This window comes from Homo sapiens, chromosome 6, assembly GCF_000001405.40.
Source record: "Homo sapiens chromosome 6, GRCh38.p14 Primary Assembly".
In the NCBI taxonomy this organism is placed as follows: domain Eukaryota; kingdom Metazoa; phylum Chordata; class Mammalia; order Primates; family Hominidae; genus Homo; species Homo sapiens.
This window is the reverse complement of record NC_000006.12, coordinates 33,564,112-33,580,993: the sequence shown is the minus strand read 5'-3', so window position 1 is coordinate 33,580,993 and position 16,882 is coordinate 33,564,112. Positions and strand designations below refer to the sequence as shown.

Sequence of the window (16,882 nt, the reverse complement as noted above, 5' to 3'; positions counted from 1 at the left end):
CAGGTTGAATCTCAATCTAGTATTAGTATTCCCCAATGCGACTACAGAACTGATTATTACTATTTATTTTTTTTGAGATGGAGTCTTGCACTGTCACCAGGGCTGGAGTGCAATGGCGCAATCCTGGTTTACTGCAACCTCCACCTCCCAGGTTCAAGGGATTCTCCTGCCTCAGCCTTCCAACTAGCTGGGATTACAGGCGCCCGCCACCACACCCAGCTAATTTTTTGTATTTTTAGTAGAGACGGGGTTTCACCATGTTAGCCAGAATGGTCTCGATCTCTTGACCTCGTGATCTGCCTGCCTCAGCCTCCCAAGGTGCTGGGATTATAGGCGTGAGCCACCGCGCCTGGCCCAGAACTGATGATTAACCCAGCTGAGCCTCTGTTCATCTGAATGGGTATTGTCAACAGCACTCACTTACAAGAGTTGCTGAGAAGATCCAATGAGACAAATAGTTGCTAAAGTGCCAGGCATGCAGCAGTGCTTAAGAAACTTCTCACCCTGGGTTTTTTATTGGTATTGATTGATGTAGAGGTGGGGGAGAAGATCAAAGACAAGGATTGAGAATCAGGGATGGGAAAAGCAGTGGGCCACTGACAGCCGCCCTGCCTGCCTGGGAGGTGGGGTGGGGAAAGTGGGCGGGACATGCTCCTGGGCCTGGCCCACCCAGATCACCCTACAGGCTGTCGGCCTGTGCGTCTGCATCCGGTGGCCACAGAGCAACTTCCTCTAGAGGGAGCTGATTGGAGCCGGGTGCCGCTGGCACCTCTATGATCACTGGAGTCTCGCGGGTCCCTCGGGCTGCACAGGGACAAGTAAAGGCTACATCCAGATGCCGGGAATGCACTGACGCCCATTCCTGGAAACTGGGCTCCCACTCAGCCCCTGGGAGCAGCAGCCGCCAGCCCCTCGGGACCTCCATCTCCACCCTGCTGAGCCACCCGGGTTGGGCCAGGATCCCGGCAGGTAAGCTGGAAGGGTCTTGTCCATCCTCCCAGATCTCAGCAGCCCCAGCCCCAGGGTGGGGCAGGGAGCCTGCCGGGAGCCGGGTGGGGAAGGGGAAGCTCAAGGCTTCCCTGGGCAGGTCTGCCGCCCCGGCTGGGGACCTGATCCTGCCATGCCTGCCTCTGGCTGCCCCTCACAGCTTCCCCTCTTGGCCCAGCCCTGGATGCCGGAGAACTGTAAGAACTGGGTCCTTTAACAGTCTGGGAGATGGGAGTGGAGGTCAGAGCCAAGGTCAAGGGCAGAGAGAGAACTTTCTCAGCGCTTGCTGCTGCCCAACATCCCTAGACTGGGTCCAGGGCCTGGCCAGGCATGTATCCCTGGGCAACATTCATCGGGGCCCAGCAAGCCCAGGAAGTCGGGGGTGGCTCCCCTCACCGGGAATTTAGGCCACTTGGATGGGGGAGGCAGAGCTAGGCCTGAGTCAGCATAGGTTGCTGGCCTTGGTGGGTGTTCTGAGGCTCTACCTGCTCCCCTCGGAAGCCTGGGGTGTTGGTAGAGGGAGTTGGAGGTGCAGTCAGCATCCTCCAGCCCTACTGTCCTGGGGGTGCCGGGTCCTGGAGACTGGGGAAGAAGGAAGGCCATCTTATGTAAGGAGCTACGGGGGGTGGGAGGCAAGCAAAACTCTTTTTTTTTGTTTTTTGAAATGGAGTCTCGCTCTGTTGCCCAGGCTGGAGTGCAGTGGCGCAATCTCGGCTGACCGCAACCTCCGCCTCCAAGGTTCAAGCGATTCTCCTGCCTCAGCCTCCCGAGTAGCTGGGACTACAGGCGCACGCCACCATGCCCAGCTAATTTTTGTATTTTTAGTAGAGATGGGGTTTCATTATGTTGGCCAAGCTGGTCTTGAACTTCTGACCTCGTGGGCCACTATGCCCGGCTGCAAAGTTCTGTTTTAACAAGGCCTTGCCCCTAGAGGTGGAGGAGAGGAAGGTCTGCCTTCACCCTGTCCCTGTCCGGCAGATCGAGGAGGAGTGGGGAGCTGGGTGAGGGCACAGGTGGTCCAGCCCTCCTCCACCCCTTCTTGAGAGCTCTTGGGGCACTTTCGAAAACACTCCCAGGCCTAGCGGAAGGAGGGTGGGCGAAGGTCCCCAGGCCCTGGGCGGTGGGGGTGGGGCTGTGTGCTTGGCCCAGGGTGGGGCTGCACACCCCCTCCCTCTGGGATAGGAGGAGGGCGCTCTCCTTCTGAGGGCTGGAGGCTGCCTGGGGAAATGGGGCTCTGGGAGGGGTGCAAACTGAAAGTGAAACAGCTGACATCCAGGAAACACTCGCCCTGATGAGGGGTCACAGCAGGTTGGGGCTGCGGTCAGGACCAGGCAAAGAGGAAAATTGGGGCCGGGGACAGAAGACCAGGTGTGTGGTGGGAGTACGAGGCAGGTTATGGGGCTTCAAAGAAGGCCCTGATCCTGAGGGCTCCCTCCGGTCACTGCAAGGCAGCAGTGGGGAAGGCACAGACAGGAGGTAAATAGGGAAAGTTGCCCTGAGAAAGAACACACTCTGAGGTCCACAAACTGGAAAAGAAATCTTGCATGCGTGTTGAGTACATGGACTCACGGAGATTCAGACAAACAACCTGACTTTCCGTGACTAACGATGTGACCTCGGGCACTCAACTCTTTGTGCCTCACTTTTCCTGCCTGTAAAGTGGGTATGATGGCGCTCACCCTGCTGGGTTCATGTGAGTTTCCAGTGTTCACCACCCACAGAGTGCTCCTAAGTGGGAGAGTATATCTTAGGCTCTCAGGAAATGTTTGCGGCTAACAGCCCAGAGTTAAAAAACAGGTGTGTTCTGGCCAGCCAGAGGGAAGTAGGGCCTCTGAGGACAGCCTTCATGGGCCATTGGCTGGGCAGTGGCTCGCTTGCAATAAGCATGTGCTGGGTGGGCTGCAGGAGGCCCCAGGAACAGCTAAAAACCCCCCAGGCTCTTGCCCCAGGAGTGGCATGAACTTGAGAGCCAGCGGGCACTGCTGCAGCCACACCCTCCTCGATGGTGCAGATACCTCAGTCTGCCCTTGGCTGCCTCACCTTCTTACCCTGTCTCCCTCAAAGAGGGAGTGTTCAGTAAGTTGTTTCCTCCCAGCAGACTTCACTGGGACCCATGCTGGAGTAAGAATAAAAAGTCCCAGAGGAGGCCAGGCACGGTGGCTCACACCTGTAATCCCAGCACTGTGGATGGCCGAGGCAGACTCACGAGGTCAGGAGTTTGAGACCGGCCTGGCCAAAGTCCCAGAGGACTAAGGGCCTTTCTGGGAATGGGGGATCCTCTCTCCTATGTGGACATGGCAACCTGTATGGGGTCCCCAGTCACAGGTCTGTGCTCACCCCCATCTCTGCTTTTTCTCGCCCTTCCCCGCAGGCTGATCCCGTCCTCCACTGAGACCTGAAAAATGGCTTCGGGGCAAGGCCCAGGTCCTCCCAGGCAGGAGTGCGGAGAGCCTGCCCTGCCCTCTGCTTCTGGTAAGGGTCTTCCTGCCCCCTCACCCATCCCATAACCATGAGTGCTGTCGTGAGGATGGAAGGAGCAGGACTCAGGCAGGCTCCTTCGCCTCGGTTCACCCACTGTGGGTGGGGAATACTCTTCCCCACCCACGGGCTCAGAGGCTGGAGCTGCTGTCAAGGTTAAGCCCAGGAGGGGGAGGAGTCTGGACTGGGGAGGGCCTGGAGGTTGGGAGAGGCCAGGAAGTGAGTGTAAGGTAGGCACAGTGCCACCGGGGCAGAGGGCTGGGTCACGGGCGAGGGAGGCAGGAATTAGAGTGGGGCCTGGCTGCTGTATCCCTCCAGCGGGAGAAATAAGGAAGTAAGCTGGCCAATCACCCAGTCAGGTCTGCTCAACAGGGAACGCAATTATTGTGACTTGGGGAGGAAGTAAGATGGCTGCCCTCCTTCCCTCTTCCCAGGGGATAGCCAGGGAAGCCCCAGCTCACACCTCACGGCGGGCTGTTCCCTGGACTTGGGAATCAGGTCCCAGGTCTGTCACTATCTCCCTGTGTGACTTTTCTGGGCCGCAGCTACAAATTCAGATTTTGTTTCCCACATTTCCCTGCACGCAAAGGGCTGCGGAGCTGAGATGTACTAATGTAGACTCAGGACCCCAAATGCCCGGGACTGTCCCGGTTCCCCGGCTTGTTCTGGCTGTATGACCTTGCACACGTTACTCAGACACCCTGTGCCATTTTCCCCCTGCCAGCTGGGGATTGCCTGCTCCCAGGGCTACTGTGAGGACTCAATGCAAGTGCCGGAACAACTCTCCACACAGCATAAGCTCTAGGGGCGGCTAAGGTGCTGAAGTAGGGATATTTCTTTTCTTTTTTTTTTTTTTGTTTTTTTTGTTGTTGTTGTTTTGTTTTGTTTTGTTTTTTGAGATGGAGTCTCGCTCTATTGCCCAGGCTGGAGTGCAGTGGCGTGATCTAGGCTCACTGCAAGCTCCAACTCCCGGGTTCACGCCATTCTCCTGCCTCAGCCTCCCGAGTAGCTGGGACTACAGGCGCCTCCCACCACGCCTGGCTAATTTTTTGTATTTTGTTTAGTAGAGACGGGGTTTCACCATGTTAGCCAGGATGGTCTCAATCTCCTGACCTCGTGATCCGCCCGCCTTGGCCTCCCAAAGTGCTGGGATTACAGGCATGAGCCACCACACCCGGCCATTTTTTTTTTTTTTTTGAGACAGAGTTTCGCTCTTGTTGCCTAGGCTGGAGTGCAGTGGCACGATCTCCGCTCACCGCAACCTCCGCCTCCCGGGGTCAAGTAATTCTCCTGCCTCAGCCTCTTCTTGAGTAGGTGGGATTACAGGCATGTGCCACCACACCCGGCTAATTTTGTATTTTTAGTAGAGACAGAGTTTCTCCATGTTGGTCAGGCTGGTCTTGAACTCCCGACCTCAGGTGATCTGCCCACCTCGGCCTCCCAAAGTGCTGGGATTATAGGCGTGAGCCACCGCACCTGGTTGGGATATTTCTTTCCATGGGTGAGGACAGCTATGGCCTTAGGAAGAGTGAATCCCCTATAAGGCATGGGGCTGCCAGGGTTCGGCCCTCTCTCCCTGACTCCCAGCTTTGATCCTCAGAGGAGCAGGTAGCCCAGGACACAGAGGAGGTTTTCCGCAGCTACGTTTTTTACCGCCATCAGCAGGAACAGGAGGCTGAAGGGGTGGCTGCCCCTGCCGACCCAGAGATGGTCACCTTACCTCTGCAACCTAGCAGGTGAGCTACAACCGCTGGGCCCACAAGGACATCTTCAGGGAGGCAGTAGCTCGCATGGGTCTCTGTGCAGGTCCTGGGAGCTGGGGAGGCCTCGGGGGTCTTGCCCTTCTCTCATGGTTGCTCCTCTTTTATGTTGGGCTCCCACCCCCATCCAGGACCTTGTATCCTTTTTAGCCCATGCCTGCCCCTTCTCCTGGAGCCCAGCACTCATGTCTTAGAACACTGTCAGGGACCTCCAAGAAGGGATGCACAGGGCCATGGACAGCTCAGGCAGAACCCCTCTGCCATGAGCCAGGGCCTGGTCCCGACTGCCTGGTTACTGGCTCACCTGCATGCCTCCTGCTCCTACAGCACCATGGGGCAGGTGGGACGGCAGCTCGCCATCATCGGGGACGACATCAACCGACGCTATGACTCAGAGTTCCAGACCATGTTGCAGCACCTGCAGCCCACGGCAGAGAATGCCTATGAGTACTTCACCAAGATTGCCACCAGGTACCCCAGCCACCTCCCTGCCAGCTCCAGTCACTCCTCTGTCATGTCACAACCATACCATACCCTGCCTGCATGATGCTCTCCTGGCATGGGGAGAAGCCTTCTGTCAGTGTCCAATGTCTGCTGTGAACTCACATGTGGTCTCGGCCCCCTATTTTTCTCTTTCGGGGTCCCAGACTTGTATTTTGGGCATTAGCTCACAGCTCTTTTGAGCTCTGACTCCAAGGTCTTGACTGGTTAGATCAGGACTCTAGAGGGGGCCTGAGGTGGGGACGTCCCCCACAGCTCCCCAGCCCAGCTGGGACATAGCTGTCCTTCATAGTTCCAATTTGAAACCACATATCACACTGAAGATGGTGAGGGTGCTAACCTCTGCCAGGTCCTAGAAATGGCTCCTACTTGCTATAATCTGGCATCCAAGTGGTTAAAGACACCGAATATTTGGGTGCAAATCCAAGCTTTGCCACTTACTGCCTTCGTGAAGCTTCCTAGCCCTTAGTCTCCTGGTTTGTAAAATAGGGAAAATATGCTTAGATTAGTGTCCACCTTACAAAGTGTTAGCCATTGCTACCACCAGAGTTAGGGAAGTCAGTGTCGGAGTAGATTTGAAACTGGAGGTGAAGGTAGGAGTAAGTGATAGATTTTAGAATTAGTGCTCAGAGCTGAAATATCCAGTCCGTGAACTTAGAGGCCAGCCTTCATACCACTGTGATGACAGGAACTACCCTAATCTTTTCTGTCCTTTTCTCTCTGCTGTCCCTCGGGCTGCCAGGCCAGCAGCAACACCCACAGGTAATCTCCCCGCTGACTCCATCCACTTGCTCTGCCCTCTGCCCTCTCTGTGCCCCGTTGCACCTGAGCGTACACCCCAGCAGTGGCATCCAGCTCATCTGCCCCTGAGCTTTCTCCTTTCGCAGAGACCCAGGTTGTTCCCAAATACAGGCCAGGTTGGGGCAGCCTCTGCGGCCTTAATTCACAGCTAAGCTATTTAGCTTCCAGCTGGGAGAGGGGTGGGAGAGGCCAGGCAGGCTGAAGGGCTTCCTGGGGGCTCTCCACCAATGCTATGGGATGCTCTGCCCACAGCCTGTTTGAGAGTGGCATCAATTGGGGCCGTGTGGTGGCTCTTCTGGGCTTCGGCTACCGTCTGGCCCTACACGTCTACCAGCATGGCCTGACTGGCTTCCTAGGCCAGGTGACCCGCTTCGTGGTCGACTTCATGCTGCATCACTGCATTGCCCGGTGGATTGCACAGAGGGGTGGCTGGGTGAGTATCCAAGGACTGCAATGTCCTCCCTGCTGTTGGGGCTGCCCCTCTCCCAGGCCCCACCCCTTCCTCGGGTTCCTATATCTTCTGCTAGCCTCTCTGTGACCACCTTGTTTCTCCCGGCAGGTGGCAGCCCTGAACTTGGGCAATGGTCCCATCCTGAACGTGCTGGTGGTTCTGGGTGTGGTTCTGTTGGGCCAGTTTGTGGTACGAAGATTCTTCAAATCATGACTCCCAAGGGTGCCCTTTGGGGTCCCGGTTCAGACCCCTGCCTGGACTTAAGCGAAGTCTTTGCCTTCTCTGTTCCCTTGCAGGGGTCCCCCCTCAAGAGTACAGAAGCTTTAGCAAGTGTGCACTCCAGCTTCGGAGGGCCCCTGCGTGGGGGCCAGTCAGGCTGCAGAGGCACCTCAACATTGCATGGTGCTAGTGGGCCCTCTCTCTGGGCCCAGGGGCTGTGGCCGTCTCCTCCCTCAGCTCTCTGGGACCTCCTTAGCCCTGTCTGCTAGGCGCTGGGGAGACTGATAACTTGGGGAGGCAAGAGACTGGGAGCCACTTCTCCCCAGAAAGTGTTTAACGGTTTTAGCTTTTTATAATACCCTTGTGAGAGCCCATTCCCACCATTCTACCTGAGGCCAGGACGTCTGGGGTGTGGGGATTGGTGGGTCTATGTTCCCCAGGATTCAGCTATTCTGGAAGATCAGCACCCTAAGAGATGGGACTAGGACCTGAGCCTGGTCCTGGCCGTCCCTAAGCATGTGTCCCAGGAGCAGGACCTACTAGGAGAGGGGGGCCAAGGTCCTGCTCAACTCTACCCCTGCTCCCATTCCTCCCTCCGGCCATACTGCCTTTGCAGTTGGACTCTCAGGGATTCTGGGCTTGGGGTGTGGGGTGGGGTGGAGTCGCAGACCAGAGCTGTCTGAACTCACGTGTCAGAAGCCTCCAAGCCTGCCTCCCAAGGTCCTCTCAGTTCTCTCCCTTCCTCTCTCCTTATAGACACTTGCTCCCAACCCATTCACTACAGGTGAAGGCTCTCACCCCCATCCCTGGGGGCCTTGGGTGAGTGGCCTGCTAAGGCTCCTCCTTGCCCAGACTACAGGGCTTAGGACTTGGTTTGTTATATCAGGGAAAAGGAGTAGGGAGTTCATCTGGAGGGTTCTAAGTGGGAGAAGGACTATCAACACCACTAGGAATCCCAGAGGTGGGATCCTCCCTCATGGCTCTGGCACAGTGTAATCCAGGGGTGTAGATGGGGGAACTGTGAATACTTGAACTCTGTTCCCCCACCCTCCATGCTCCTCACCTGTCTAGGTCTCCTCAGGGTGGGGGGTGACAGTGCCTTCTCTATTGGGCACAGCCTAGGGTCTTGGGGGTCAGGGGGGAGAAGTTCTTGATTCAGCCAAATGCAGGGAGGGGAGGCAGATGGAGCCCATAGGCCACCCCCTATCCTCTGAGTGTTTGGAAATAAACTGTGCAATCCCCTCACCCTGACTTAGTTTTTGTATTCTCTGCTACCCCTCTTTCCATCAGGCCAGACTGTGGGAACCTGGGCACGCCTGGCATACATCTGGCTTATTACTGAATAAAACCTCACACTAGGCCTCTAGAATCCCATAGAGGCCTGAGTATGGTTCTGCAGCCCCCACTCCGATGGAAGGCGTTCGCCCCTCCCCATGAACTTCTCTCATCTCGTTGGGTTTCATGCAGTTTCCACCCTTTAGGAAGTCTGGGAGGTCCTTTAGCTACAGAGCTGGTGGAGCAGCTGCACATATCTGAGGACCCCCACAGGCTACCTCTGACCTGGGCTGAATTCTTCTCCCACCCTGGGGCTACCACCCACGCTGGTCCAAAAGGCCCTTCTCCCCCACATTTAGCTCTGCCTGGGACACAATGTCCCAGCTCCCCCTTCCTGATGTCTCCACAGTCAGCACACACGCAGGGCTTTCATTCTAGTTTTATGCTGCTTGGGAGTCCCTATGGGTACCCAGCCAGGGGTGATAAAAATAACAAGCATGGGGGCGTTTAAATGTTCCAAAATCTACAGTCTTTCCAGTCCTGGGCACCCTGGTCTGTGTTTCTGACGCCCTTCCAAAAGGGTCACATGCAAGTCCAAGAGAACTCGTGAGTTTCACCTTCACCCTCCTGGGGTGGGCTTGCCAAGCCCCTTTTCCCTCCACAAGGTCTTCAGAGTCTAGTACAGACGCGATCTTGGAAAAGGGAAAAGGCGGCGCTGCAGGCAGTGGTGGCTGGAAGGTGGTTGCTACAAGGCACCCCGCAGTGTACAGGAAAAGCTCACAGACAACATTTATAGAACACATACTGTGTGCCAGGCTTTATGCTGAGAGTTCATCATCTGCCCAAATAATAGGTAGGAGACGGGGGTGGGGGTACTCAAACTACTATTTACAGATAAGGAAACGGGTGCTTTCTCAGAGTCACCCAAGGAGTGAGGACTTGCCACCAGGAAACTGGCTCGAGTTTTACGTGGAGGCCGGAGAGCAATGTGGGGCTCGCGAGCACAGGTTTAAGAGGCCCAGAGTGCGGGGTCGCCTCCCTCCCGGAGCGATGCCATAGAGGTTAGAAGTGGGCGGCTGCCCGAGTCCAAGATGGCCGCCGCCGCGAGCACGCAAGCGTGCCCTTCCTTGGGCGGGGCCTTTGGGGCGCACCCACTCCAGCCTCTGGGCTTTGAACAGCATGCGGCATTGAGCGGCGAACAGATCGTTGCATCGCTGGAAGAAAGGCGGGTGGGCTGTGGTTAGCCTACTCGTCTAAGGAGCTGCAACGCTAACCGGAAAGGCATGGGTGGGGCAGCCCAAAAAGTTTTGGCCTGCACCGCCCCCCAACGCCCTCTATTCCGCTGCCAGGATATTCTGAAACCAGGGGGCGAGAAGTTAGGTCGGACACAGTCAGCCAGGGGCTGCGAGGATAACGGGAGTGTAGGGGCTCTGTGGGTATTAGGGAAGAGAAACCAAAAAAACTCATTTCTACTCAAACTGTGCGCTGCTTCTGAGATTGTGGCTTGGTTTCCACCAAATACGTCTGGGTTCGTCACAGTCTGTGATGTCACTGAGCTGGGGCAGCCCGGCCAGGGAAAGGAGCGGTGTGCAGCTGTCACCTGCTTAGTTCTGCAGTTTCAGTATGAATACCCGCCCTTCCTTGCACACAACAGCCTCACATTCTCCCCACCCCCACCCTGCCGTTTTACCTTCACGTATTTATTTTTACCTCCTCTGAAGAGTATATTTTAGAGAGTCACCGAGTGTCCATCCAAACCCTTTCATTTGAAAAAATCCTTCCTTAGCCTAAAATCACTCAGTATATTGAACAAGTTATTATGACATAGTCACCTGAATGCATTAAAATAAATTTACATGTATTCATTAAACTTAAACCACCATATCCACTAGTTTTTTTTGTTTTTGTTTTGTTTTTTCACCCGTGACAAAAATGTACCCCTCCTGCTCCAGTTGTATGCACTTCAGATGTAGAGGCCCCATTTTGTAAGATGCTTGTAAAATGTGGATTTAATTTTTTTTTTTTTTTTGAGACAGAGTCTCGCTCTGTCACCTAGGTTGGATGGAGTGCAGTGGCACAATCTCGGCTCACTACAACCTCCGCCTCCCGGGTTCAAGCGATTCTCCTGCCTTAGCCTCCCGAGTAGCTGAGACTACAGGCACGCGCCACCATGCCCGGCTAATTTTTTTTGTTGTTGTTGTATTTTTAGTAGAGACGGCGTTTCACCATTCTGGCCAGGCTGGTCTCGAACTCCTGACCTCATGATCTGCCCACCTTGGCCTCCCAAAGTTCTAGGATTACAGGCGTGAGCCACAGTGCGAGGCCCAAATGTGGATTTAATTCTATCTGAGCTGAACAGATAAGGATAATCATGATTTCGTGTGTGTGTGTGCGTGCGTGCATGCGTGTGTATGTGTGCGTGCATGCATGCGTGTGTGTGTGTGTGGAGAGAGAGAAAGAGAAGGGAGTTATTGAAGGTTGCTGGAGGTGCCCAAAGGTCAGGAACCAGAATCAGCAAAACCCAGCTTCTCCTGGGGTGTGTTGAGCTGTTGCTGGACACGTTAAAGGTGAACACTGGACTCCTGGGATATAAAAGTAAGACGTGAGAGGACAGGGGATTCAGTTCACTAGAAAATAATACAACAGGCTGGGCGCAGTGGCTCATGCCTGAATCCCAGCACTTTGGGAGGCCAAGGTGGGCAGATCATGAGGTCAGGAGTTCGAGATCGGCCTGACCAACATCGAGAAACCCTGTCTCTACTAAAAATACAAAAAATTAGCCGGGCATGGTGGTGCATGCCTCTAATTCCAGCTACTGTGGAGGCTGAGGCAGGAGAATCGCTTGAACTCGGGAGGCAGAGGTTGCAGTGAGCTGAGATAGTGCCATTGCACTCTAGCCTGGGCAACAAGAGTGAAACTCTGTCTCAAAAAAAAAAGAGAGAGAACAAAAAGTAATGATTTGGCCTACTGAAGCAGATCCCTGGCATATTTTATGAGTGATCCAATGAAGGGGCACCCCGCCCCCATTACCAAGATCAGGTGATGGACTAACAGGCAAAAACTGGACTTTTCTAGGAAAGGCCACTTCATAGCTGAAGAGACTGAAACCATACAACCTCCCTTTACCTGGAGTATGGGATTTGGCAATGGACGTGGGCAGGCACCAAATGGATGCATGTGAGAGTGTGAACGTGCGTGTGGCTAAGTGTGTATGTGGCATCTGGTGAGTAACATGTGAGTGGGCATGGGTTGTTGGAATCAAAGTATGAATCAATACATCTCTTAGCTCCATTTATCTCAACTCTTCCTTTGCAATCTTGGAATCATTCCTGGTGTCCAATGTCACAATTTTTTCCAAACAGCTTTGGCTAAGGACACACTGAAGGCTCCACTGAACCTTGAGGTGAACCTACTTTGTGAAGTTCATGGCACAGACTTTTGTGATAGCTGTGTGGGGCTGGGCTCACCAACCTTCTCATGTTCTAACCTGACCTGCTCTAAGCTGACCTCTGACCCCACTGAGGGCAGCTTATCCAGTTAATTTCCAGCGGATGGTTAGGCTTCCTCAAGTGTGTGAATATTTTTTTGCTAAAGTCTCAGGTGGGCCATACTGAGGAAAGGCAAGATGCATTTGGCATGTCTGGTGTCTCTGAAATTTGGAAGCTGTGAATTAGAGTGCAAGAGGCACTTCGATGTTGGTTACCATGTCTGCTAAAAAAAAAAAAAAAAAACAGATTTGCAGGAACCTAAATAACACTACTACCAGGCTATGTGTGAGAGGGGCTGTGGGCAGGTTAAAAGCCGAGTGCTGTCCTGGTAAGGGCATGGGGGATCCCCCTGCTTGTAATGCCTAGTAGAATGGGTGAGTGTCTTTTTTTTTTTTTTTTTTTGAGATGGAATCTCACTCTGTTGCCCAGACTGGAGTCCAGTGGCACAATCTCGGCTCACTGCAACCTCTGCCTCCTGGGTTCAAGCGATTCTCCTGCCTCAGCCTCCAGCTGGGATTACAGGCTCACTCTACCACGCCAGGCTAATTTTTGTATTTTTAGTAGAGACGGGGTTTCGTCATGTTGGCCTGGCTGGTCTTGAACCCTTGACAACTGATCCGCCCCTCAGCCTCCCAAAGTGCTTGGATTACAGGCGTGAGCCACCGCGCCCGGCCGGATGAGTGTCTTAACGTGAGCTTGGACTTTCATTCTGGGTGGCCTGCAGAATGCGCTAACTAGGAATAGCCCTTCCTTTTCCTGGCAAGAGGGGGCACATCCACGCTCAGTTCACCAGGAGACTGGGGATTCTTCTGAGTATTCCATGCATGCTTTTCCGTCTCCCCAGCCCCCTCCACCAGTGGGAGGCACTGCGATGTCTACAGGACTAGGGTGTTCAAATGCTGGTGTTCTCAGACAGCTCCTGTAATGGGCTGGCACCCCAAATCTAGACTGCATGGTGCCAAGCAGCCTGGGGTACCTCCACTGACAAAGCTGCTTTTTCATGCCAGCTCTACACAAAGGCAGCGTGATGGCAGGAAGGCCCTCCCACTGGAATGCACACTGGAAGAGCGCTCGGCTGCTCTGGCTCGGGGCCCTCCCCACCCTCGCGGCAAACCCCCACCCCCAGCAGGGTGGGGAGGGTGATGAGAGGAGGGTCAAGGAACCCATGCTGCTTCTCTTGATGATTTGTTGTCTTCTCTTCCCCCAGTAAAGCCTATTCCTAGGCTGTGTCACGCTGTGGAATTTGTCTCAAACCCAGGTGCCTGACAGAGAGACCCCGAAGGGTGCTGTCCAGTGGGAAAAGTAACTTGTAGAGGGTAGAGGAGGAAGAGCTGAAAGCACACAACGTTGGGCAGGGAGGAGGCAGGTCCGTGCCTTACATGAATTTCTCTTCCTTGCTGCTCACCAGTCTCTGAAGCCACTGTGCCTTCCTCTGCTCATGGCCACCCTGAGTCAGAGGCCGCTCCTGTAGACGGTCACTCCTTAGCTGCCCATCTCTGCCTTCCCATTGCCACTGCCAAGGCTGTGGGGTATATTCTTAACTTCTAGGTTTTTTGGTAATGGCCCTGCCTTAGGTCCCCCCCAGTTCAAAGTGTCCCCAGCACACCACCACCACCACCACGACCAAACTGGTTTCACAAAACATCGTCTTGATCCCCACTGAAAATCCATGAGGTGCATGATATTCATTACATTCGCCTCCTCCTTGCCCATCCCTGGTAGGAGCACAGGAGTGTTGAAGGGTCTGCCCTCAGGCAGCTTACATAGCCATGGAGGAGGAGGCATCAAGCAGTAATCTGAGTGGGACGCAGGGAATTTGGTGCCCCAGAAAAAATGTGCCAGGTTGGCCTGGTCTGGGAGTACCCAGGGAGGCTTTTCAGGAGGGGACACATAAACCATTTCCTTGAACAAACTCATCATGTTCAGGCAGGCACTCAAGGCCTTCTCAGTGGCTTTCCAGACTTTTTTCTGACTCTTGCCTTTGCTACAGCCGGATGGTCCAGGCACCACTCTGGGCTCTCCCGAGCTCCTTCCACCTCTCTCCTCCTCTCAACCCACAGGACATTTTACAGGATCTGCTTCTCCCCTGGAATGTCTCCTCTGACTCATCTCCTTTCTGTTTCAATGTGCTTTCCCATTTCTTAACATCCAATGATAATTCCCTGTGGGTCAGTCTCTCCCCTTCTCACCACCAATGGCCCTTGGGATCTGATCCACTCATTGGCCAGTTAATGGCCTTGTTGAGTTGGAAACAGCATTTCATTTATTAAATAAAAATTATAGAAAGCCATCAGCCTAGGCAACACAGTGAGACCCCCCCTTGTCTACCAAAAAAAAAAAAAAAAAAAACATTAGTCACACATGGTGGCACACGCCTATAGTCCTAGCTAGGACTGAGGGGGAGGAAGGCTTGAGCCCAGGAGTTCAAGGCTGCAATGAGCCGTGATTGTGCCACTGCACTCCAGCCTGGGCGACAGAATGAGACAAATGGTGGAAGGGAGCGAGGGAGGGAGGAACGGGGGAAGGAAGGGAGGGAGAGAGAGAGGGAGAGAAGGAAGGGAGGGAGGGAGGGAGGGAGGGAAGGAGGGAGGGACGGGACTGCACTAGGTCAAAACAGATAGAACTAAAACTCAAGATGGAGTCACCCATGCTAAACTAAGTTGTTATCCGACATTCTGAAAAATAAGGAGAGAGAGATAACAGCCAATTTCTCAAAAAGATCAGTTTAAATCTTTAACCACATGATAATGAAGTTCTGTTTTAATCCTTAAACAAAAAAAAGGCTTAAAGAACCTGAAGAGACCCGATGTTAACTAATCAGTTGTTTTTCCAATTGTTTTGCGTCCCTTTCCCCCACCTTACAAGAAAAAAATAACTTTGAAGTCTGGGTGGTGCCTCACACCTATAATCCCAGCACTTTGGGAGGCTGAGGTAGGAGGATTGCTTGAGGTCAGGAGTTTGAGACCAGACTGGGCAACAAAGCAAGACCCTGTCTCTAAGAAAAAGAAAAAGAAGGCCAGGCGTGGTGGCTGACGCCTGTAATCCCAGCACTTTGGGAAGCCAAGGTGAACGGATCACCTGAGGTTGGGAGTTTAAGACCAGCCTGACCAACATGGAGAAACCCTGTCTCTACTAAAAATACAAAATTAGCTGGGCGTAGTAGCGCATGCCTGTAATCCCAGCTATGCGGGAGGCTGAGGCAGGAGAATCGCTTGAACCCGGGAGGCGGAGGTTGCGGTGAGCCAAGACTGTGCCATTGCACTCCAGCCTGGGCAACAAAGCCTGGAGCGAAACTCCATCTCAAAAAAAAAAAGAAAGAAAAAAAAAACTTTGAAAAGTAACTTAATACATTCTTCCTTACTTCTGCTTTCTTCAGCTCTTCTGTGTTTATAAAACCAACTTCAGTCCAGGTGCGGTGGCTCACGCCTGTAATCCCAACACTTAGGGAGGCCAAGGTGGGTGGATCACCCGAGGTCAGGAGTTCGAGACCAGCCTGGCCAACATGGTGAAACCCCGTCTCTACTAAAAATACAAAAATTAGCTGGACATGGTGGCACACACCTATAATTCCAGCTACTTAGGAGGCTGAGGCAGGAGAGTCGCCTGAACTTCGCTTGAACCCAGGAGACAGAGGTTGCAGTGAACCGAGATCACGCCACTGCACTCTGGCCTGGGTGACAGAGTAAGACTCCATCTCAAAAAAAAAAGGCAACATCTTCTGCTGAGCTCATGGAACATTTATTCTATTTTACGGAATGAAGTGTTGCCTGATTCTAGAATCGAAAATAATGCCAACTGAGATCTTTAAGCTAAATTTGTTATAATGTTGTCCTTTGACATGGCTTAAGTTGTGGGACCTGTGTATAAGTTCAAGTCTGCCTCTTAAATAGTTTTAGGGCCAATTCCTCTAATATGAAATCAAATGAGAATTCTGGCTTTCTTTCATTCATTCAGCAAACATTTATTGAGTGCCTTGAAGCCTCAATAAACAAACTCAAATAGAATGGGGAGAGTATTAGGATTTAGCTCCGGTATTTGTACTTGTCATGTGCAGTATATGACTTGAGGGCACAATCTCTGAGTGTATCTGTTGTGTGTGTTTTTGTTTTTGACAGAGTTTGCTCTTGTTGCATAGGCTGGAGTGCAATGGCACAATCTTGGCTCACTCCAAACTCCACTTCCCGGGTTCAAGCGATTCTCCTGCCTCAGCCTCCCGAGTAGCTGGCATTACAGGCATGCACCACCACACCCAGCTAATTTTGTATTTTTAGTAGAGACAGGGTTTCTCCATGTTGGTCAGGCTGGTCTCGATCTCCCAACCTCAGGTGATCTGCCCGCCTCAGCCTCCCAAAGTGCAGGGATTACAGGCCACGTGAGCCCCCGCACCCAGCAATTATTATTAGTATTATTTTTTTGGAGACAGGGTCTTTCTCTATCGCCAAGGCTGGAGTGCAATCAAGGCTCACTGCAGCCTTGACCTCCTGGGCTTAAGCAATCCTCCTGCCTCAGCCTCCTGAGGCAAAAATTAGTGGGGCAAAAATTAGCAGCCAGGCGTGGTGGCTCACGCCTGTAATCCCAGAATTTTGGGAGGCCGAGGGGGGTAGATCATGAGGTCAGGAGTTCGAGACCAGCCTGACCGACATGGTGAAACCTCTGTCTTTACTAAAAATACAAAAATTATCCGGACATGGTGGTGAATGCCTGTAATCCCAGCTACTCGGGAGTCTGAGGCAGGAGAATCGCTTGAACCTGGGAGGCAGAGATTGCGGTGAGCCAAGATCACATCACACCATTGCACTCCAGCCTGGGCAACAAGAGTGAAACTCTGTCTCAAAAAAAAAAAAAAAGAAAGAAAAGAAAGAAATGGCTTCTAGTTGCTGTAATCTGACATCCAAGTGGTTAAAGACACCAAATATTTGGGT

General features: G+C 53.2%; 1 protein-coding gene across 5 annotated transcripts, besides 4 other annotated features; it reads left to right on the top strand.

Moving 5' to 3' along the window:
• Window positions 1–717: 717 nt before the first annotated feature.
• Window positions 718–8,442, top strand: BAK1 (BCL2 antagonist/killer 1). 5 transcript variants are annotated; one of them, XM_011514779.4, is made up of 7 exons: window positions 718–969; window positions 3,086–3,196; window positions 3,359–3,459; window positions 5,066–5,201; window positions 5,553–5,696; window positions 6,780–6,960; window positions 7,087–8,442. In XM_011514779.4, exons 3-7 carry the CDS (start codon window positions 3,390–3,392, stop codon window positions 7,189–7,191), a joined length of 636 nt encoding a protein of 211 aa, XP_011513081.1. In that variant the 5' UTR covers window positions 718–969; window positions 3,086–3,196; window positions 3,359–3,389; the 3' UTR covers window positions 7,192–8,442. The 5 variants fall into 5 exon arrangements, with proteins under 5 accessions (XP_011513081.1, NP_001179.1, XP_047275150.1 ...); NM_001188.4 differs by lacking the exon at window positions 3,086–3,196; XM_047419194.1 differs by lacking the exons at window positions 3,086–3,196; window positions 6,780–6,960; window positions 7,087–8,442 and adding an exon at window positions 6,469–6,773.
• Window positions 1,499–2,144: an enhancer, noted in NCBI's record as "H3K27ac-H3K4me1 hESC enhancer chr6:33546627-33547272 (GRCh37/hg19 assembly coordinates)". NCBI's record gives its function as "activates a minimal SCP1, AML or CMV promoter by ChIP-STARR-seq in naive H9 embryonic stem cells {active_cell/tissue: H9 hESC(naive)}" and the evidence as "EXISTENCE:reporter gene assay evidence [ECO:0000049][PMID:30033119]".
• Window positions 1,499–2,162: a biological region, named in NCBI's record as "H3K27ac-H3K4me1 hESC enhancer GRCh37_chr6:33546627-33547272".
• Window positions 2,053–2,162: a silencer, noted in NCBI's record as "silent region_17046". NCBI's record gives its function as "represses an Ori minimal core promoter by ATAC-STARR-seq in GM12878 lymphoblastoid cells {active_cell/tissue: GM12878}" and the evidence as "EXISTENCE:reporter gene assay evidence [ECO:0000049][PMID:35858748]".
• Window positions 9,288–9,577: an enhancer, noted in NCBI's record as "active region_24361". NCBI's record gives its function as "activates an Ori minimal core promoter by ATAC-STARR-seq in GM12878 lymphoblastoid cells {active_cell/tissue: GM12878}" and the evidence as "EXISTENCE:reporter gene assay evidence [ECO:0000049][PMID:35858748]".